The 23325-nt window shown below is 41.0% G+C and overlaps 1 protein-coding gene across 4 annotated transcripts in view, besides 1 other annotated feature; it reads left to right on the forward strand.

Annotated features, from left to right (window-relative positions):
* ATRN (attractin) overlaps nt 1–23325 on the forward strand; it is a 180101-nt gene that overhangs the window by 132974 nt on the left and 23802 nt on the right. For 2 of the 4 annotated variants that reach the window (NM_139321.3, NM_001323332.2), the window contains exons 24-25: nt 114–271; nt 20520–20581. In NM_139321.3, coding sequence (NP_647537.1) covers nt 114–271; nt 20520–20581 — 220 coding nt within the window. Of the gene's footprint in view, nt 1–113; nt 272–11836; nt 12068–20519; nt 20582–23325 lie in introns of those variants that run through there. The other 2 variants (NM_139322.4, NM_001207047.3) reach the window with 1 other exon arrangement.
* Nucleotides 17003–17202: a silencer, noted in NCBI's record as "fragment chr20:3601641-3601840 (GRCh37/hg19 assembly coordinates)". NCBI's record gives its function as "represses an EF-1alpha promoter that drives an FKBP-Casp9 reporter gene in an ReSE screen in K562 erythroleukemia cells {active_cell/tissue: K562}" and the evidence as "EXISTENCE:reporter gene assay evidence [ECO:0000049][PMID:32094911]".

The following is a 23325-nucleotide window of genomic DNA, read 5'->3' on the forward strand; positions in this document are numbered from 1 at the left end:
CACAGGAAATGTTTGATAAATGCTATTGTCCTTATTATTAATGAGGCCAGATTCTGTTCTCCCCCTAGCCCCCCAAAAAATGTCTCTTCTCTTTCATGTTTTTCTTTTAACAGCTGGAACCCAGGCTGGAGAAGAGATGCCTGTTGTTTCAAAAACCAACATTAAGGAGTACAAAGATAGTTTCTCTAATGAGAAGTTTGATTTTCGCAACCACCCAAATATCACTTTCTTTGTTTATGTCAGTAATTTCACCTGGCCCATCAAAATTCAGGTAAGAAGAGGCTTTTGGTCTCATACCTGCAAAGGTGGTGAAATCTCTTTAGTAAGACTAAATTTACTAATTTGGAGCTTGTGGTAAATGAGATGTGCAATGTGGCTTTGCCTTTGTAACGTGTATGGCAGAGGAGTGCTGAGCACATGCATGCTGCACAGAAGATTGGAGTGGGGATGGACTGTATCACTCATGAAAGACATTTGCAAAAGCACTGTTGAAAGCAAGTTGGCATGTAACAGATTTGGTCATTATAAACGTATTCACTTCTTCAGTGAGCATTTGCCATGTGAAAGCCTGTAGGGCTACACAAAGAACTTCAATTCTAGAGTAAGGTGGATGTAAGTGAAACAAACCCACATATAACAACTGAAAGCCAGAGTGTGGAAAGTGACATGAGATGATCCCAGAAATGCTATCAAAGTTTAAAGGAGGACAAATGGGGAGACTATGTTGAAGAACATCAGCCTTCTAGTCAGACAGAGGTGGATTGATTCCTGGCTCCTATACAAATCATACAGCCTTTCCAAGTCTCCAGTTCTCTGTGCATGTGACCTGAAGGGTAGTTGTAAGGGGCTGTGCAGCTGCTGCAGTGTCTTGTTAGCCTGCTCCTTTCCTCTGTTCCCAGGGGGCCAGTGTACTCCCTCTTGTCCGAGACCCATGGCCCCATTTTAACTTTTTATACTCATGTCACCTGGGGCCTTTCCTCAATACCTTCTGCTTCTTACCTTCTTCATTTAGGTGAATGTGGAGGTTAGGGATAGGTGGGCTTTCAAGGACTGGTTCACCTTTAACCATGGAAGCATGGTCACTGGACGGAGGCTGTTGCTGTTTGCCAATGTTCAGAAGCATAATCAACCTCAGAAGCAAGTCACCACAAACATATGAAAAAAGTTCAACATCACTGATCATTAGAGAAATGCAAATCAGAACCACAGTGAGATACCATCTCACACCAGTCAGAATGTCTGTTATTAAAAAGTCAAAAAAGAACAGATGCTGGCAAGGCTGTGGAGAAACAGGAACGCTTTTACACTGTTGGTGGGAGTGTAAATTAGTTCAACCATTGTGGAAGACAGTCTGGCAATTCCTCAAAGACCTAGAGGCAGAAATACCATTTGACCCAGCCATCCCATTACTGGGTGTATATCCAAAAGAATATAAATCATTCTGTAACAAAGATACATGCACATGTATGTTCATTGCAGCACTATTCACAGTAGCAAAGACATAGAATCAACCTAAATGCCCATCAGTGATAGACTGGATAAAGAAAATGTGGTACATATACACCATGGAATACTATGCAGCCATAAAAAGGAATGAGATCATGTCCTTTGCAGGGACATGGATGGAGCTGGAGGCCATTATCCTCAGCAAACTAATGCAGGAACGGAAAACCAGGTACCACATGTTCTCACTCGTAAGTGGGAGCCGAGAACACATGGACACATGGTGGGGAACAACACACACTGGGGCCTATTGGAGAGTGATGGGGAGGAAGGAGAGCATCAGGAAGAATAGCTAGTGGATGCTGGGCTTAATACCTAGGTGATGAGATGATGTGTGTAGCAAACCACTGTGGCACACGTTTACCTATGTAACAAACCTATACATCCTGCACATGTACCCCTGAACTTAAAAATTAACAATAACAAAAAAAGCAAGTTATCACTCATCAATTAGGATGCCTTGGGACTGTGACTAAAGAACAGTTGATCTTTCCATTCTGGAAATATGGAGGACAAAAACTATGTTGTAGTTTTTCTCACCACCCTCTCTCCTTTTTCCTGTCTCCATGGTCTAAGATTTGTTAATCCTCTCATCAGCTTCTCCCTTTGCCCTCGCATACTCCCTGTGTCCCTCCTCAGCCAGTCTTGTAAGCATCAGCCACGCTTCTTATTCCTGTTTTCTCTTGTCTAGTCACACATCTGCTCACAATGGTCTGGCCTCTTCCCTCACCACATCCTGAAACTGTCCTGTCATAGTGGGCCCCAGTGATGGAATTTTTCAGTCCCCTTTTTATCTCATTGCATGGCTTTGAATCATCATCTTTCTTGTCTTCCTGGATTTTTCTTTTCCTCGTTTTCTGGCCAGTCTTTTTAGGGAATCCTCTTCCTCTTCCTTAAACACTGGGCTTGTCTAGGATTCAGACCTGGTCCTTTTCTCTCTTCACTGTTTCCTGCATGTGGGACTTGTGGTGCCACATCTATTCTGGTGATTCTCAGTGCTGTCTCCAGACCGGCACTGGCAGTTGCTGCCTGGACAGCCCTACCTGGGTAGTCAAAGCTCCCTGCGTTCGGTGCATATTCCTTCTTGTGATCTTAGCCCCAGACTTCCATGCTTCCTTTCTCTGTAAACAGCACCACCATCACCCTGTTGTACAAGCTAGGGCCTGATGATCATTTGCATTCCTGGGATAAACCCAACTTGAGCATGACGTATTATTTCCTTACTTTACACGTTGTTGGATTCAGTTTGCTAATATTTTGGTTAGAATTTTGTATCTATTTCATGAGTAAGAATGTCTGATAATTTTCCCTTCCTGTCCTTGTTATGGTTTTGATATCATGTTAAACTAACTTTTAATAATTATAATTTGAGGAGTTTTCACTCTTTCTCATCTCTGGAGATGTAAGATTAGAGTTAACTGAACCTCAAGTACTTGGTAGCTCTCTCCTGTAAAATCATTTGATCCTAGTGTCTTATTTGTGGAGATACTTTTTAGCTGCTGATTCAGCTTCTTTAATAGTTATAGGATATTTTGAATTTCCTCTTTATTTGATTCCCTTTTTAATATTTTTTCTAGGTTTTTATATCATGTTTTTAAATGTATTTTTAATTTTACTTTTTAAATTGATACATAATTGTACGTATTTATGAGGTACATGAGATATTTTGATACATGCATACAATGTATAATGATCAAATAAGAGTAATTAGGATATCCATCACCTCAAACATTTATCATTTCTTTGTGTTGAGTACATTTCACATCTTCTAGCTATTTTGAAATAATGAATAAGTTATTGCTAACTATAGTCATAATGACTATTGTGCCATTGAACACTAGAACTTATTCCTTGTAACTCTATTTTTATACCCATTAACCTCTATCTCCCCAGCCCCCCAGCAGCTGGTAACCACCATTCTGCACTCTACCTCCATGAGATCAGTTTTTTTAGCTCCCACATCTGAGTGAGAAAACATATCTATCTTTCTGTGCCTGGCTTGTTTCACTTAACATAATGACCTCCAGTTCCATTCATGTTGCTGCAAAGGACAGGATTCCATTCTTTTTGTGACTGAATAATATTTCATTGTATAATATATACAACATTTTATTTGTCCATTCATTTGTTGATGGACACGTAGGTTGATTCCATGTCTTCACTCTTGTGAATAGTGCTGTGATAAACATTTAGAGCATGCAGTATCTCTCCAGTATACTGATTTTCTTTCTTTTGGATATATACCCAGCAGCGGGATTGCTGGATCATGTGGTGGATCTATTATGAGCAGTCTTCATACTGTCTTCCATAGTGGCTGTACTAAATAATTTACATTCCCACCAGCAGTGAACTAGTATCGTCTTTCTCTGTATCCTCGCCAGCATCTGTTATTTTGTCTTTTTAATAATAGCCATTTTAACTGGGATGAGATGATTTCTCATTATGGTTTTGATTTGCATTTGCCTGATGGTTACTGATGTTGAGATTTTTTTCATATGCCTGTTGGCCATTTGTATGTCTTCTTTGGACAAATCTCTATTCAGATCATTTGCCCATTTTTAAATCAAGTTTTTTTCCTATTGAGTTGTTTGAATTGCTGGTATATTCTGGTTATAAATCCCTTGTTGGATGGATAGTTTGAACATATTTTCTCTCATTCTATAAGCTGTCTCTTCACTCTCTTGTTTCCTTTGCTTTGTAGAGCTTTTTGGCTTGATATAATCCCATTTGTCGATTTTTGCTTTTGTTGCCTGTGATTTCGACATCTTACACAAAACATCTTTGCCCAGACCAATGTCCTGAAGGATTTTCCCAATATTTTCTTCTAGTAGTTTTATGGTTTTAGGTCTTATACTTAAGCCTTTAATCCATTTAAATTTGATTTTTGTATGTGGTGAGAGAGAGGGGCCTAGTGTTATTTTTCTGCACGTGGATATCCAGTTTTCCCAGCACCATTTATTGAAGAACCTGTCCTTTCCCTCACTGAATATTCTTGACTCCATTATTGAAAACCAGTTGGCCGTGAATATGTGGATTTATTTCTGAGTTCTTTATTTTGTTCCACTGGTCCGTGTATCTGTTTTTATGCTGGTATCATGCTGTTGTGGGTACTATAGCTTTGTAGCATATTTTGAAGTAAGGTGATATGATGCCTCCAGTTTTGTTCTTTTTGCTCAGAAATGCTTTGGTTGGCTGAGTACAGCAGCTCGTGCCTATAATCCCAGCACTTTGGGAGGCCGAGGCTGGTGGATCACCTGAGGTCAGGAGTTCGAGACCAGCCTGGCCAACATGGCAAAACCCTGTCTCTAATAAAAATACAAAAATTAGCCATGTGCAGTGGTGGGTGCCTGTAATCCCAGCTACTTGGGAGGCTGGGGCAGGAGAATCTCTTGAACCCGGGAGGAGGAGGCTGCAGTGAGCCAAGATTACGCCACTACATTCTACCCTGGGCAAACAAAGCGAGACTCTGTCTCAAAAAAAAAAAGAAAAAAAAAAAAAGAAATGCTTTGGCTATTTGAGGTCTTCTGTGGTTCCATACAAATTTTAGGATTGTTTTTTCTATTTCTGTGAAGAATGTCATTGGTGTAGAGATTACATTGAATCTGTAGGTAGCTTTTGGTAGTATGGTTTTTTTCACAATATTAATTATTTCAGTCCACAAATGTGGTGTCTCTTTCAATTTTTTTGTGACCTCTTCAATTTCTTACATCAGTGTTTTATAGTTTTCCTTGTAAAGAGGGCTTTCACCTCCTTGGTTAGATTTATTCCTACGGTTGTTTTTGGAAGTTTTAAAAAAATCTATCGAGAATGGGATTGCTTTCTTGATTTCTTCTTTTGCTAGTTCGTTGCTCCTATATAGAAATGATTCTGATTTTTGTGTGTTGATTTTGTATCCTGCAACTTTACTGAGTTTGTCAGTTCTTAGTTTGGTGGAGCTTTTAGGGTTTTCTGTATATAAGATTATATCAACTGCAAATAGGGACACTTTGACTTCCTCCTTTCAGTTTGGATGCCCTTTATTTCTTTCTTTTGCCTAGTTGCTCTGGTCAAATATGTTGATAACTTGTTGATGCTGTCCTCTAATGCTCGCAGCGTCTGTGTTCATGAAACCCTTTGTTGTATTCCAATGTTGATAGCATTATTCACAGTAATCAAAATGTGGAAACAACCCAAATATCTATCAGTGGATGAATGGATAAACAAAATGTGGTATGTATGTATGTGTGTGTGTGTGTGTGTGTGTGTGTGTGTGTGTGTATAAAATAAAATGTTATTCAGCATTAAAAAGGAATGAAATTCTGATACATGCGACAACACAAGTGAACCTTGAAAACATGCTAAGTGAAATAAGCTAGTTGCAAGAGGACAAATATTGAATGATTCCACTTAACATGAAATATCTAGAGTAGTACACAGATTCTTAGAGACAGAAAGTGGATTGGAGGTTACCAGCAGCTAGGGGGAGCGGGAAATAGGGAATTACTGCTTCATGGTTATTAAAGAGTTTCCCTTTGGGGTGATGAAAAAGCTTTGGAAGTAGGTAGTGATATTGGTTGCACAAAATTGTGAATGTAATTATTGCCACTGATTTGTACACTTAAAAATGGTTAAAGTGATTTTATGTTATATCTTACTACAATAAAAAAAGTCTTTAAAAATCACAGCAAGATGTTTTTGTAGATATAGACAAGCTTATTCTGAAATTTATATGAAAGGGCAAAAGTTCTAGAATAGCTATAACAATTTAGAAAAAGAAGAATAAAATGGGAAGAATCAACCTACCCAATGTTAAGGCTTACTATTTAGGTACAGTAATCAAGACATTGTTTCAGGTAGAGGGGTAGACACACAGATCAATGGGATAGGCTGATCTATAGGTAGATCCCAGAAATAGAACCACATAAATATGTCCAACTGATTAGGATTTGATTTTGTTTGTGGTGTTTTTTTGAGACAGGGTCTCACTATGATGTCCAGGCTGGTCTTGACTCCTGGGCTCAAGTAACCCTCTCACCTCAGCCTCCTGAATAACTGGGATTACAGGTGCACACCGCCACGCTAGTTCCAGCTGAATTTTTTTTTTTTTTTTTTTTTTTGAGACAGGGTCTCACTTTGTCGCCCAGGCCAAAGTGTAGTGGTGCAGTCACAGCACACTGCAGCCTCAACCTCCCTGGCTCAAGTGATCCTCCTGCCTCAGCCTCCCAAGTTGCTGGGACTACAGGTGCATACCACCATGCCTGGCTAATTCTTTTTTTTTTTTTTTTTTTTTTTTTGGTAGAGATGAGATCTCCCTGTGTTGCCTAGTCTGGTCTCAAACTCTCAAACTCCTGGGCTCAAGTGATCCTCCCGCCTTGGTCTCCCAAAGTGCTAAGATTACAGACATGAGCCGTTGCGCCCAGCCCCCAGCTGATTTTTGACAAAGGCCCTGCAAAGGCAATTCAATGAAGAAAGGATAGCCTTTTAACGAATAGTGCTAGAGCAGTTGGACAACCATAGGCAACTAAAGGAATCTCTAAATCTCACATCTTATATAAGAATTAACGCAATATTGATCACAGATCTAAATGTAAAACATAAAACTATAAAACTTTTAGAAAAAAATATAGGAGAAAATCTTTGAATCCCAAAACGAAACAAAACCTTTTTAGACTCGATACTAAAAACGTGATTCATAAAAGGAAAACTTGATAAACTGGACCACATAAAACCAAAAGTTTTTGCTCTGTGAGAAACCCTGTTATGAAGATGAAAAGGCAAGCTATGGACTGGGAGAAAATATTTGCAAACCATATTTCTGGGAAAGCACTTGAATCTAGAATATAATAACTCTCAAAACTCAACAGTAAACAAACGAACAATTCAGTTAGAAAATGGGCAAAAGACATGAATAGACATTTAACCAAAGAGGATATACATATGGCAAATAATGACATAAAAGATGATCGGCATCAATAACCATTAGAGAGGCCAGGTGTGGTTCACACCTGAAATCCCAGCACTTTGGGAGGCCAAGGCAGGCAGATCACCACTTGAGGTCAGGAGTTCAAGACCAGCCTAGCCAACATGGCAAAACCCCGTCTCTACTAAAAATACAAAAATTAGCCAGGCATGGTGGCACATGCCTATAGTCCCAGCTACTCAGGATACTGAGGCAGGAGAATCGCTTGAACCTGGGAGGCAGAGGTTACAGTGAGCTGAGATTGTGCTACTGCACTCCAGCCTGGGCAACGGAATGAGACTGCCTCTCAAAATAAAAATAAAATAACCATTAGAGAAATGCAAATTGAAAGCACAATGAGATAACACTACACACTTATCAAAATGACTAAAATTAAAAATAGTAATAACACCAAATGTTGGAGAGAGTGGGGAAAGATTGGATCACTCATACATTGTTGGTGGGAATATAAGATGGTACAGTCACTCTGGAAAATACTTTGTTTCTTAAAAAACTAATGTTATACTTATCATATAACCCAGCAATTGCATTCCTAGGCATTTATCCTAGAGAAATGAAAACCAGTGTTCTCACAAATCTCTGTACACCCGTGTTTATAGCACTTGAAAGCAATATTTAACAGCTTTATTTATAATAGCCCAAAACTGGAAACAAGCCAAATATTCCTCAACAAATGAATGCTTAAATAAATGATGCTACATACACACCATGGCCTAATACCCAGCAACAAAAAGAAATGAACTGTTGATATACAGAAACACAACAACTTTGATAAATCCCAAGCAAATTTTGCTGATTGAAAAAGAAAATCTTAGAAATTTATATACTGCATGATTGCATTTATATAACATTTGAAAATGAAAATTTTAGATCTTATATACCTATGCACATATTGAATAAGTATCCTGAAGCTTCAAATTTCTCTGACTTCTTAGGACTCTGATCTCTAGACCCTGTTTTAAAGGAGCTTATCTGATTAGGTCAGGCCTACCCACACAGGAGTAGGGAAGATACAGAGCGTGCCCATCAAGAGGTGGAAATCTTGGGGGCATTCTTAGAATTCTCCCTGCTGTAGGCTGCATTTGGAATAGAGCTTGCAGGGGTTTCGGTAGTTTCTCCGATCCGAAAGAGGTTGAGCTCTAGGTTCCAGTCAGTATAATTTCAGTTTGGCAACATCTCCTGACACTATTAAGATATAGATTATATATATTTGTTAGGTTATTTTCATGTAAACACTTGATTAGGGTTCTAGTAAATAAAATTTATTTATTTACTCATTTTAAGTTGAGATTGTTTTTGTACTGACATACCTCTCCATATTCTCAATCTAATTGAACATCGTGCTTTGTTGCTTATAGCTGACAAATGATTAATACTTTTTAGATTCTTAGTGAAAATCTTGACTTATGCTGCTGACACTTTTCCCAGTCTGTGCCTATAAGCAGGCTTTTGTGCTGGAGATGGCCATACTTGTTGCCAATGCCGAGTTTTTTTCCTCCCAGTTCCCTATTGCTCCACCCTCTGAAAGTCACTGAAGTGGTTTTAGAGCTTTCATTCTAGAGGGAGCTCTTCCCCACACTTACTTCTAAGAAGTAATAATTTTAAGTTTCATAATCAAGGAGATGTTGATTTTCTTCCTGGTTTTCTGGTGCTCCTTATCTTTTCTGGATCACTAACTTAAATTAAGATCCACTTATGAATGCTGCATTCAGGAGCACTTGTGAAAATAAACGATGGCATGCCCACCATTTAGTTTGCCAAGCTTTCCTTGAAAACGCAGGTAAGTTCTATTGCAAACGTGTCTTTTTGCTGTTTGGTACAAATGACTGCACTATTCACTGTGACTAGGCCCGTGTCACCGTGTGTTCTCAGTCCTCGCATGAGAGCCTGGTTGACACTGGTTCTCTCTGCTTTGGGGACCGTATCTGGCTGTGCGCTATGTGGAGGGCTGAGCTCGTGTCTTCCTGGGTAAATACATCATGTTCTCAACAAGGGCTGCATGTTTCTTTATTGCTGTTTTTTCCCCAGAGACTTAGCTTTTCTAGGTGTGTAGCATGGCTCTTAAATACACACATTTAGCAACTGTGCAAATTCAGTAAAAATGGAGAGACTTATTTAAGGAAGACAGTAGGGAAATGTCTAAATAGTGCAGTGTAGGCCATTCAGTTAAATTTCAGTATGGCTTTCGATGCAGGCAAAGCCGTTTTGCCTTTGATTCTCATTTTTTAAATTAGATTTTAAAAATTGAGATTCTCCTTTTTTAAATGAGATTTTAAAAATTGAGATTCTCCTTTTTTAAATGAGATTTTAAAAATTGAGATTCTCCTTTTTTAAATGAGATTTTAAAAATTGAGATTCTCCTTTTTTAAATGAGATTTTAAAAATTGAGATTCTCATTTTTTAAATGAGATTTTAAAAATTGAGATTCTCATTTTTTTAAAGCAAAGTAACTGAGGAAATCTAATTCTCTAGTTGGAAATTTGTGTAAGCATTGGGGCTTTAAAAATGGTAATACTAAACTCAAGTTCCTTCACTCTGAACCAATCCCAGGATTCTTTTCCATAATTAGGAACAGATCAAAACCTATAACTGCTGAGGGAATTTGAAACTGACTATAAAAATCTTTGTAGATGCAGCTAAAAAACAAACAAAACCCACAGACTGAAAAGTCCTGTTTCTGGGAGGGTGGCGGGTGTGTTGGGGCCGGTTGTGCCTGTTTTTTGATTGGTTGTTCCTGTGGGTGAGCACCCTTCCCTCTGCCCCTGCTTTCTGAAAGCTATCCTAGTTGTTCTCCCCAGTAAGCCGGGGCTCAGCCGGCTTCAGCTATGTCCATAGTTTGGGGGCGTGGGCGGTAGGTATTCAAGATAGAAGATGGTTGGACAGAAAGTGTGTGAGGTGGGAAGGTGGAGTGGTGAGGCTCTGGCTCGTTCCCGACTCTGCAACAGAGGTTGTTACTGTAATGTGGAGCTAATATAGAAGTCTGCGTGCTGGGTGTTTCATCTACTGTTTTATGTAAGAGGCCAGTGTTCACAAGTAAAGGCAACACAGAATTGGTATTGAGAACTGGGCATTCATTTAGATTTTAGAGTTCTGTTTATGGGTGCTAACAGGATCGCTATACTGAGCAAGGGATGTGTGAAACTTTTGTTCACTTGGATGTGCTTTTTTTCTTATAACAGCTTTATTGAGACATCATTTACATACCATACAGTTCGCTCATTTAAAGTACACAATTCAGTGGTTTTCAGTGTATTCACAGAAGCGTGCAGCCACCCGTCACTACAGCCAATTTTAGAATATTTTCACCACTTCCAGAAGAAGCCCCTAGCAGTCAGTCCTCATTCCCCCCTCTTCCGGCAACCCCCAGTCTGTATTTCCTGTCTCTGTGGATTTGCCTATTCTGGACATTTTATATAAATTGAGTCACATGATATGCTCTCACTTAGCATACTGTTTTCAAGGTTCACCCGTGTTTAGTATGTTTCAGTACTTATTCCTTGTCATAGCTGAATAATCTTCCTTATATGTATATACCACGTTTTGTTTATCCATTTTTCTATCGATGGATGCTTGGGTGGTTTTCACTCTTTGGCTATTATGAATAGTGTCAGATATACTTTTAATGTTTATATTTATTGTATAATAACAGTGCATATCCGTACCTCCTGGTGTTAATTGTCTGTATCTTAAGAGTTTTAAGAATTATATGGTTGTGCTGTAATTCTAGCACTTAGGGAGGCCGAGGCGGGCAGATCGCTTTAGCTCAGGAGTTTGAGACCAGGCTGGGCAACATAGTAAAACCCTGTCTCTACTAAAGTACAAAAAATTAGCTGGGCGTGGTGAAGTGTTCCTGTAGTCCCAGCTACTTGCAAGGCTGAGGCACAAGAATCACTTGAACCCAGGAGGCAGATGTTGCAGCGAGCCAAGATTGCACCACTGTACTGCAGCCTGAGCGACAGAGCAAGACTCCTGTCTCCAAAAAAAAAAAAAATTTTTCTTTATGATGAAACCCACAAGGCTGTACAAGAACCTTAAATATAGTTTGAAACAAAGAAAGACACATGCTTTTAAGTACAGTTTAATTCTTTTCTTTTTTCTTTTTTCTTTTTTTTTTTTTTTGGAGACAGAGTCTCACTCTGTCGCCCAGGCTGGAGTACAGTGGTGCAATCTTGGCTCGCTGCAACATCTGCCTCCTGGGTTCAAGTGATTCTCGTGCCTCAGCCTTGCGAGTAGCTGGGACTACAGGAACACTTCACCACGCCCAGCTAATTTTTTGTATTTTAGTAGAGACAGGGTTTTACCATGTTGCCCCCATCATTCTCAGCAAACTATCGCAAGGACAAAAAACTGAACACCGCTTGTTCTCATTCATAGGTGCAAACTGAACAATGAGGACGCATGGACACAGGAAGGGGAACATCACACACCAGGGCCTGTTGTGGGGTGGGGGGAAGGGGAAGGGATAGCATTAGGGGATATACCTAATGTTAAATGACGAGTTAATGGGTGCAGCACACCAACATGGCATATGTATACATATGTAACAAACCTGCATGTTGTGCACATGTACCCTAAAACTTAAAGTATAATTAAAAAAAAAAAAAAGAAAAATGTGTTATTCCTTTGTCTCGAAAGTCCCCTGCTTTTCAGCTTTCGCTTTGGTTGTCTCTTGTCAGCTCTTTAATGCTATTGTTCCCTTGGGTTTCATCTGGACTCTTTTTCCCTGGGCAATCTCATCCACACCATCTGGGAACATTGCCTTTGGCTGGACAGGTAAATCTTTGTCTCTAGCAGACTTCTCTCCTGTGATCTCCAGAGCCAGGAACCCACTAGACTTCCTTAAAATTCATTCAGCCAGCAGACTTTCTGGCCCAGAGCAGCAGCTGTGAGTGGACAGCAGGCACCTCGTTAGAAGCTCGGTGTTGGAGGTGTGCCCATGCATTCCTGGGAGCCATGAGAGGGGAGGGGAGTGCCCTGTGTCACCTGAGTCCAAGTTAAGAGAGATCACACCAGAGCTGATTCCTAAGGAGCATGGGGGCGGGGGAAGGGGGTGTTCGTGGTGGGGAAAGGAAATGACCAGCCCTTTCAGGAACTACCAGGAGTTTAGCAGAGCTGGTGACAGTGCTATGAGCAAGAAGGTGGAGAGCTGGGGAGGGCCATTATGAAGAGACTGGAGATTGCAGGCTGTGAACTTGAGTCCTGATGTGACTGGGAATTGTTGAGATGTTTTAGGCCGAAAAGTCACCGACGATCAGTGTTTAGAAAGACCCCACTGGCAGCAGTTGGGAGTGTGGATTGGAAGGAGCCAGGCCTAAGTCCTGGGAGGACTTAGGAGGTCCAGGAGTCCAGGGAGTCCAGGTGGAATTCTTGTGTAGAAACCCAGGGAAGGGGACCATCTGATGACACACATCCCATAGCAACTTCCTTTCCTCCTCTGCACCTCCACAGCAGAGTGTCTGTTTCCACTATACGAAGATTTCTTAATGGCAAGGATCGCATTTTTATCCCTCAGTGTCCTCAGTGTCATGTGCTAATCAGTTGGAGATACTCCCTAAATGTATGCCAGATGAGTATATAGTTGTTAGTATAAGGGCTTTACGGTAGGTATCAGAACTTTTTCTTTTTTACAACTTTTATAACTTTTATAAAGGAGCCGACACCTTTTTCTGATATTGTCAGAACAATTGCTGACCAGTGCTATGGGCTGGCTGAGGTTGGCAACCAAGAATCTGTTATCTCAGTCTACACAGCGTGGAGTTAGAAGATTGGATTGTTGTTGGTTAGAATTTTGTCCAGAGAGTTAGAAGATAGAAGAAAAGGGAGGGCTGAGGACATAAACATCCAAATTTTACAAAGAAGAAAGTTCAGTGCTCCTGTCAATATTGAAATAGTTAAGAGGGAAATGATTGGGTCTGGGGAATGCTTCAAAATAATATGATCATAGGGAAAGTAAGTGTAGTGTGGATGAAACAAGGTTGGCCTTGAGCTGATAATTTACTAAAGCAGGATGATGAGCGTGTGAGGTTCATTATAGTGCTCTTTCTACTTTTTAAAAAGCTTAAGATTTTCCAAAATGAAAAAGAAGCTGAGCATGGTAGCTCATGTCTGTAATCCCAGCACTTTGAGAGCCTGAGACGGAAGGATCACTTGAAGCCAGGAGTTCGAGACCAGCCTGGGCAATATAGTGAGACCCCCATCCCTACTAAAAAAGAAAAAAAATTACACAATGAAAAGAATAATACAGGTGGTAGAAGAAGAAATAAAGGTATGAGTATATGATTTGGCCTCCTACAGACAGCTACAGGAGCATGCCTCTGCTGGGCGGGCCTGGAGCATAGTGCACCCTGGAGCTGAAGTTCTGTTCGCCTTTACAGGAAGTACACAGCATTGTACGGGGGTTTTACCAGTTAACAGTGGACAGTCTCTAGAACACTCAGGGGTCAGGGGCAAAACTCCCTCTCCCTCAAACCAGCCCACCTGTCTTGGTGAGAATGGAAAACGGAGCTTCCCAGCAAGCCTCCTGCCTTCACCCCGACGCACAGGTGCATCAGGGTCTGAGGGCTCCTCCCTGTGGGGCCTGGGAAGCCGCCCTTCAGTGGGCTATGGCTGCATTGTCTTCTGATCTTGTAGCTGTGTGTGGGTAACAGGCACATCGTCTCCCCATATCCCAGAGAGTCATGTCCACTTCCTATCTGTGGTGGCATCTTTCCATCACTGTCACCCTCAGGATAATGGCACAGGAACTAACAGAGGCACTAAGAGCAGTGATATATACTGGAGGGAGGGGCGGGGCTGATGACCAAAATCACCTTCTGTTTCAGTAAGAGGTTGGTTAAAGTGATGCCTAAAATGGATAGATCAGGAAATAACAATAAAAACATTAATGATAAAAAGGCAACTGCCAGAAGAACTGAAAAGTAACCTAGTTCAAGGTGGGGGTCCCTGGAGAGAAGCCTTCAGAAGAGCAGAGGAAGAGCAGGGAACATTGCTTTTCATGACTAGCCTTTCAGTACCTTTTGATATTTCAGCTAAGTATGTAGTTCTCTAATGATTTCTAAATTGTTAATGAGTGTGATAGAATAGGAATTCTGGAGAATGGTCAAAAGGAATTGCTAGGAGAAAATTAGGGAAAGAAAGCACAGAGCAGTATTGAGGTGGGAGGTTGGGAGCAGACAGATGGTGAGTGTTCGTTTGCATGGCAGGAATGAGTGGCTGAATGGCATTAACTGGCCATGGGGCTCTGACCAGAGCTTGGGTATACAGTTTCTGTGCCAGCACAAACCAGCATTAGGTGCGTGGTGTGTGAGGCCGGGTGATGGTCATATGGATCTGGTCCAGAGCTGTGGTCTTGACATAGAGTTCCATGTATGAACTTTGGTGGTGGTGGTGGTTTTGTTTCGTTTTTTAAGAAAAAAGGAAGAGTTGTTTTATGTCACAGCCAAACTCAAGGAGGTGACAGCACAAGACCCAGGTTAGAATGTACTTAGCCAGGGCTCACGGAATCTTCCATCCTTTGCAAAGCCAAGAAGAGTAGAGGCCTCAAGGAGAATAGAGGAGCACATGGGCTCCTTCTGGGCTGAGCTCTCACCCTTGGTGGGGCCGCTGGTCCCAGGGGGTCGTTGGGAGCCTGCGGAGATTCTGCCCAGTACATACATACCTTGCGTTTTCTCGGAGCCTGACAGGTGCTGCCTTGAAGCGGAAAGACTTCACCTCACAGGGTGGCCAGCTGTCCTTTCTCTTCCTCTCCCTGTCTTGTGTGCTCATGATAATGGATAGATAGACATCTCCATGGTAGAAATAATGCAGCCCTTTCTGCAGTCCATGGTTCCACAGCATATGGTCAGTAGACTTAGATGAGTGCTACATAAAGTGTAATTAGTTCTGCACCACGGTGTCTTACCTTCTGAAAAGGAAACTCTGGTATTGACTTAGAAATGCCAGTTTTATCCTTCCGACCAGAACGCAAGTCCTGAATGAGGCCAGAGGCCAATGAAAGGTCCTTTCTTCTCTCTTTTCAAATCTGCTGTATTAAACAGTGACTTTTCCTAGTCATTCAGTATTCATTCATTCATCCATTTATTCAAGTTTTTGAGTACCTTCTTTGTGGATGGCACATAGTAGATGCAAAAATACAATCATTTTTAAAATGGAAAGCATTTGTTATGTGGTAGTGGAATATAAGAAATGCCATGCTTCCATATTTTTATGGTAATCTTGGACTCAGGTTCTACCCACCATACTTAATTAGAAATTCATTCTCAGCCTCTGTTTTGGCAGAGACCCATTCTCTTCCCTCAGGAACATACAGAAACCTCAGGGCTGAACTGAGCTCAGAGGTTGGGGAAGGTCCCCTGGTCTGATCTTCAGTCGCTGACTGCTGCGCCCGATTCCCTGGCCCCTCACTCTTGAGGGCAGCATCCTCACTCTTGTGTGGCACAGGCTTGGACATAGAATGACACTTAAGCACCAGAGCCTCCCTAGCCTGCCACAAGGACACCCTACATTCCCAGGCACTTTCAGAATGCAAAACCTCCCCTCCATTCCCTCCCTTTCCCTGCCTCCAGGTTTGGGCCCTGCCTCTCCTTTTGTTTCAAAGCACTGTCCTCTCTTCCTCTACCCTTATCCTTCCCCATCTCCCTCCCACTCCCCAAAAGAGCCAAACTAATTATGGGGATTTAACCTTCCAATTAAAGGCGAGGATTTTTTTTTTTCAATGCAGTTCCTGAAATGCTAAAGAAATTGTCCAGGGAAAGGAGCACAGGAGGAGTTTTGTTTTGTTTTGTTTTGTTTTGTTTTGTTTTGTTTTGTTTTGAGACAGTCTCGCTCTGTCACCCAGGCTGGAGTGCAGTGGTGCGATCTTGGCTTACCGCAACCTCTCCACCTCCTGGGTTTGAGCAATTCTTGTGCCTCAGCCCCCCAAGTAGCTGGGATCACAGGTGCACACCACCACGCCAGCTAATTTTTGTATTTTTAGTAGAAATGGGGTTTTGCCATGTTGGCCAGGCTGGTTTCGACCTCCTGGCCTCAAGTGATCCACCCACCTCAGCCTCCCAAAGTACTGGGATTAGGCGTGAGCCACTGCATCCAGCCTGATGTTTAAATAATTTCTTACTTCAGAGTTTCCTGAAGTGTGGCCTATGGAGACTAGCATCAGAATCACTGGAGGAGCTTAAAGATATAGAGACAGGGATAGGGCCTGAGATTCTGACTTTGTTGTAAGCTATCCAGAGTTTGAGAGCCATGGCCTAGTTCTTGGAATACAAAAGTGTATCTGCTCTTGTATGGGAGGTAGGAAGTTACCTTTTCATTCATTCTTCTACAACAGTAATTTAAAAGTTAGGAATTGGTGTCTTCATAGACAGAAGAATGCAGGAATCCTCTTCTCAGGATGTCTGTCTTTACACAGCCATGGTATATGGTAGACCAAGTTTGTCCAACCCATGGCCCGCGGGCTACATGCAGCCCAGGACGGCTTTGAATGCAGCCCAACACAATTCATAAACTTTCTTAAAACATGATTTTTTTATTTTATTTTTTTTTAAGCTCATCAGCACTATCGTTAGTGTTAGTGTTAGTGTATTTTATGTGTGGCCAAAGACAATTCTTCCAGTGTGGCCTAGGGAAGCCAAAAGATTGGACACCCCTATATAGACCATAATTATCACACGCCCTGAGAGGGAAGCAGATCAATGGTGAGGGAGCGTAGAGGAGAGCCTGCCAGAGTTTCCAGTGGGGCCGGGGATGCTTAAAAACGGAGGCAGTGATGTGCTGAGCCAGAAAGGACAGGGAGGACCCCCATGCACACAGGCAGGGAGGCTCTCTGGTGACATCTGCCGTCAGGTACAGTAGTACAGTAGTAGAGTGAGCGGAAGCACTTTTGGCTGAAGTGCAACATTAGTGATTGAGGAAGTGCAGGTCCGTAATATCTTACCCCAAACCCTGGGGCTCACTGAGCTTCCGAGTTCAGAGTTTTTCAGAATTGATGAACACATCCAGAAGGCCCATGGGGCAGATACACCTTAGACATATTGATGAAAGTGGAGTTGGAATTGGGTTGTGGAAGTCGTAGGACGTGAATTCTAGGTTTCTTGGAGTGTGGAGTATGGTGTCTACTGTTTGGAAACAGAGAAGAATGACATTATGAGTTTTATTTATAAAATAAGAATTTCTTCTTTGTATTAAAATAGATTTTTATATAGGAAATTTTCATTACCTTCAGTATCAGAAAGGCCCCCAAATCTATTTCACCGTTTCCATAATAAATTGTGAAAGAAAGATTTGATTGGGATATTGTCTTTAAAAATGAAACCAAAAAGTATGGGAAAATACTTTAATTTTAGAGTTAACAACATTTATAGTTACAATCATGAAGCAGGTATGGTGCTGCTTCATGAGCCAAGTTCATAAAAGAAAAAAAAATCAGATCTTACTGAGTTCTGTGAGACAGATCATTATTTTTCTTATTAACATATTCATTTATTCAGCAAATGTTTATTAAGTGCCAATTAATGTATCAGTGGCTGCTTTAGGCACTGGAGATATATGGTCAGTGGGATAAGGGGAAGTCTCTGTCTTCAATCCTCACAGATCTTATTTTCCATAAGTAAGTGTACAAATACGGGCTATGAATTAAATAGAGCAAGATAAAGAGATGGGGGTGTGGCTTCAGTTGTGCACATGGTGCCCAGAAATCTGATAGCTCCATCATGGAGTCCTTCACTTGAGACTTCACAGCAGGATGTAAAAAGCAACAGCCAGGAAACTCCTTAGTTTTCCCAAAGTCCTCCCTTAATCTCGTTTAGAGAATTATGAAACACTTCCTATGGCTTCATCCTTTATCCCTTCTTCAGTTGATAACTGAAGGGCTAAATCTGCCAAGTCTTCCTTTGCCAATGGTTTTGTGCGAGCAGTTCTCCAACAGCGCTTCCACTAAAATCTTGTCTTTTACAAGATGGATTTTACAGTTGGTTGGCATTGTATGACAGTCTGTGAGTAGGGACAGCCCAATGTATGTTTGTTAATCAAGTTTATGCCTTTTACATTGAGTAATTTTTAATTACCTCGTGTAATTTTTAACAGCACTCTCCTTCATCTTCAGAAGTGTTCAGTTTGAACAATAAGTTTGTCATCTTGTCAGTCAAAGGTTGACCAACAAAGACTGACCGCAGTGGGCGGGGTATTCAGCAGGGTTAGATGTTTCTAAGTGGTCAGTGCTTTCATAAACATTTTCACGTTATGACCTTTGCCTCCTCACACAATCTTGTAACTATGGAGACTTAGATGATAAAGATTCAACTAAGAGGATCCCTTTAAAGTCTTGGGTACCAGCCATACCAAAAGCTGTTTTATATGAGGTTCTTTATGATTATAATTTGGACATGAACATGGAGTGGTCCTGCTTCAGCAAGAAATCAGGCTAATAACCATTAGCATCCAGTGTGGGTAAAGGCGGGGGCTGCCCTGAGGAGTGTTGTGTGGCACAGGGCGCATGAACACCAGATAAGTCCTCAGACAGTGCCCTTAGCATCCAGTGGTTTTTGGCATCTAGCAGGGAGTAAAAGTATCTCATAGATTCTTTAAGTGTAAACACCGAGGACACACTTAACGTTTTAAAAGATTGAAATCCAGACAGGGCTGGGGTGGACTCTAATCTGTTTCCTTCTCTCTCTTTATGTGTTATAACTTGGATTCTTCATTCCCCAAAATGACCTTGTTTATATAATTCTCCAGTCTTATCTAAAACTTTTATGTGAGGACCATGGCTCATATTCCGCAGCTTTCCTTCTCTCAAGGAGCTAGGACTGGTTATTGTGATAAATGAAGGAAAAGAAAAGAAAGTGGGTTTCTGTTTATTGTATGAAATTGATGTAACTTTGTATTTCTGATTATAAATGGTAGCCAGAGGGAGGACACAAAAACTTCAAATTCCAAGCCCCATAATATATTATGGCCTGAATAGTGTTGGAATTTATTTATTTATGGAATGTCAAAAAGAAAATAGGGCCATCAAAAAAGCAAACAGTGGAAGTCTATTTTCTGGCCCCTGTGAGTCTGGCTCTAAAAACAGTGCAAGGGGTTGGGGTTTGGTGGGACTAGGAAAGCAGATGCTCGTCATTTACCTTCCTGTGTTTGTCATGAGAATTGTCTGTACTGGGATTGTCACCTTGGTCAGTAATTGTTTCGTTTATAGTACCATTGTCTCTCCAAAGAGGGCTGAGTTCCCTAAAAAAAAGCAGGCAGCGCACCACAACATCTGGCTAGTAGCACGTATATTATCGGTGATAGTAAGGACACAATTCTCGTATTTAATCAATTTGGAGGTATGCATTTTTTCGTGGGCTAATATCCCTGAAATCATGATGCATCTTATGGTCAGTGACTTAAAAAGCATTATGTCATAGTTAAATTGACAGTGTTTTTCCTAAATTATACACAGAATAATGCCTTTTTCAGCCAATGTTATTTTAGAGTTGATGAAATATGTTGCATTTTTATATTCTTGGTATGAAGACTATTAACTGTATAATAAAATTATTTAAGTTCTGATGACGTAGTGTCAGATGATGTTCAGTGTAGCAAAACGCGAGGCACAATTTTTTGTAAAAAGGACAATATCTTGCAGTCAGTACACACTGAGTACATAAATGTTGACCAAATGAAGAGCACAGAATGGGGCTGCCCACCTGGAGGCAGAGCCATGAATTGGTACTGAGGCAAACAAGGAGAGCTTTGTGTGTGGGTGGAGGCGCAGGGAGGGAGCGCCAGGCTTCATGGAGGCATGCGAGGGTCTCCAGGGTCAAACAGACAGAACCTCAGAACTGGTGTGAAGCTTAGAAGGGGCTGCAGGAGGCTGTGCTAAAGCCTCAGTGTATTGCTATGGGACTGGCAACTAAACAAGTAAACTAAAGGGGTGAGGTACTTTTCCTTAAGTGAAAAAAGTTTCCTTAACTTCTTTAAAATGTAAGCTCTGTTTTCAGCTTAACTCTTGAAATGAGAAGCGTGAATCCGTGGTGGTTTCATGACCTGCATAATCACACTACCTGTTTTTCTGTCACAGATTGCCTTCTCTCAGCACAGCAATTTTATGGACCTGGTACAGTTCTTCGTGACTTTCTTCAGGTAATTTTGCTTATACAGACTCTCTCTGTTCTTTTGATTTAGGCACTAGATCCATTAATAGAGTATCAGCTCCTAAAAGATAAAAAGAATAATCCTGTGTTTCCACCACAGATTAAATTTACTTCATATGTGTTCCTGAAAAGTTAGATGTCAGTTACAGTAATATAAACTCAATCTAGCATGACAAAGTGAAAACGTTTGGTTTGTATGTTCTGGCTTCCAGCGGGGGGCTTTGCATGTATCCTGTATTAATTTTGCATGCATCCTATAGATAATTTGGCTCTTCATATGGGGAGAATTTGGGACTAAAACAACATTTAATTAATAATGGTTACTGATGTGAGCTACACATATGCTTATGCTTGTTCAAGAGATGATTCTGGTGATTATCCAAAGTTTTAAAGCTGAAAGTGATTTTTTAGTGCCCTGGGATTTTCTTTTATTTCCATAGTTTTTTTCGTAGTCTAATTTTATCTTTATGAAAATACTATAGACAAATAATTGAAAAAGACAAAAAACGTGCTGCAGTTTTTAAAACAGAAAGCAGCAATAGCCTGCCTTGCGCCTTCCCCACCCCACGTCCCCCAATTTAAATTGTTTTGTTTTTTACTTCTCTGTGTTTACACTTGGTTTTTCAGTTAAGTTCTCTTTTGATGTCCTACTGTAGAAGATGAGGATATACTGTGTTACATGGCCTCCCCTAGCATCTCCCCTCACACCACAAAAGCATACAAAAGCCCCATCTCTTTCATTTAATACCATTGTATCATAATGCATGGCTAAATCAGTGATCCCTATCTATGTTATGGCCATAAAACTCTTATTCACAGCTGCATTGAACAGTGATTACACTACCACATTTTTTGGGTAGAAGGATCATTCTTTGCTTATCCTAAATGTAGTATTTGCCATGTTTTGGCTTTTTAATTGTTTGATTTTTCTATGTGCCTACCCCTGATTTATCACTATACTCTTGCTGATGTACCTTTAGAACAGTAAAAAATAAAATAAAATAAAGTATCATTGTACTGTGACAGAACTGAAAAATCTCACAATGGTCACACACAGGAAGGTGCTCTCTTGGTTTGAATTTCTCTCGGAGTTGCCCACCCTAGAACCTTCCCACCTCCTGCCCCCAAGTGCACTTGTTCCTGAGGCCTGCTGCACAACTGTCATTTGGAAACTTCCTTTGCCTTCCTCCTATATTGAAGTCTCTGTTTCCCAGATCCCATGTCTTCACCTTCCTATCCATTCCCTCTTTTTACTGGAGCACATTCTCTAGATTTATGAGAAAAGATGCCTGGGAGATAACTTTTCTGTGAGCTCTCCTGACTGAAAATATATTTATTTTATCCTACAATTTGATTGAATTTCTGGGGGCAGGTGCTATGGCTCACACCTGTATTTCTAGCACTTTGGGAGACCAAAGTGGGTGGGTCACTTGAGCTCAGGAGTTCGAGACCAGCCTGGACAACATGGCAAAACCTTGTCTCTACAAAAAATACAAAAATTAGCTGGGTGAGGTGGCGCAAGCCTGTAGTCCCAGCTAATCAGGAGGCTGAGGCAGGAGAATGGCTTGAGCCTAGGAGGCAGAGGTTGCAGTGAGCGGAGATTGCACCACTGCACTCCATCCTGGGTGACAGAGTGAGACCCTGTCTCAAAAAAAAAAAAAAAAAAAAGTCTGACTACAGAATTCTAGGTTCAAAATCATTTTCCATTAGAATTTAGAAGACGTTATACTATTTTTTCTAGTGTCCAGTATAATATTGAGAAGGCTAGTGCTGTTATAATTCCCACTCTTTGTATGGGATCCGTTTTCTCTCTTAAAAAGAAAAGTATATTTAAGTGTAATATAAAGTTACAGAAACATTTGCAAATCCTATGTGTGTAGCTCAGTGAATTATCACAAATTGAACACTTCTAGAGTATTGATAATATTATCTCTTGTTCACCCAGAACACTTCAGGCTTCTTATTTCTTCTCTGTCAGTTTCGGCAAGTTGTATATAGTTTTCTTCTAATGATCCCATTCCATCTGTTCCATTCTCTTGTTCACTGAGAACAAGAGTTAATATTACCAATACTCTAGAAGTTCCTCTTGTGTTTCCCCTCACTCACAACCCCCTGCCTCTTCCCCAAAGGTACCATTTACCTGACTTCTCAAACCATACATTGCATTTGCTATTTTTGAAATGCATATGAATTATTTCTTTTTTTTTTTTTTTTTTTGAAACTTAGTCTCTCTCTGTCACCCAGGCCAGAGTGCAGTGTTGTGATCTTGGCTCACTGCAAGCAACCGCCGCCTCCCGGGTTCAAGCAATTCTCCTGCCTCAGCCTCCCAAGTAGCTGGGATTACAGGCACGTGCCACCACGCATGGCTAATTTTTGTATTTTTAGCAGAGACGGGGTTTCACCAGGTTGGCCAGGCTGGTCTCGAACTCCTGACCTCAAGTGATCCACCCGCCTCTGCCTCCCAAAGTGCTGGGATTACAAGCATGAACCACTGCGCTCAGTCAAAATGTATATAAATGAAATCACAACATAAATTTTAAGATGATTTGGTTGATGAAGAAAATACTGAAAACTTGTGGGTTGCAGTTAAAGTTGTGCTTCGAGGTTATAGCTGTAAATCTGTGGCTCTCCACCTTAGCTGCACCTAGAATCACTTGCGGAGCTTTTGATGTCCAAGCCACTCTTCAGACCATTTGACTCAGAACCTCTAGGGGTGCACCCCAAACATTTGAA

Source organism: Homo sapiens, chromosome 20 (genome assembly GCF_000001405.40).
Source record: "Homo sapiens chromosome 20, GRCh38.p14 Primary Assembly".
NCBI lineage: Eukaryota > Metazoa > Chordata > Mammalia > Primates > Hominidae > Homo > Homo sapiens.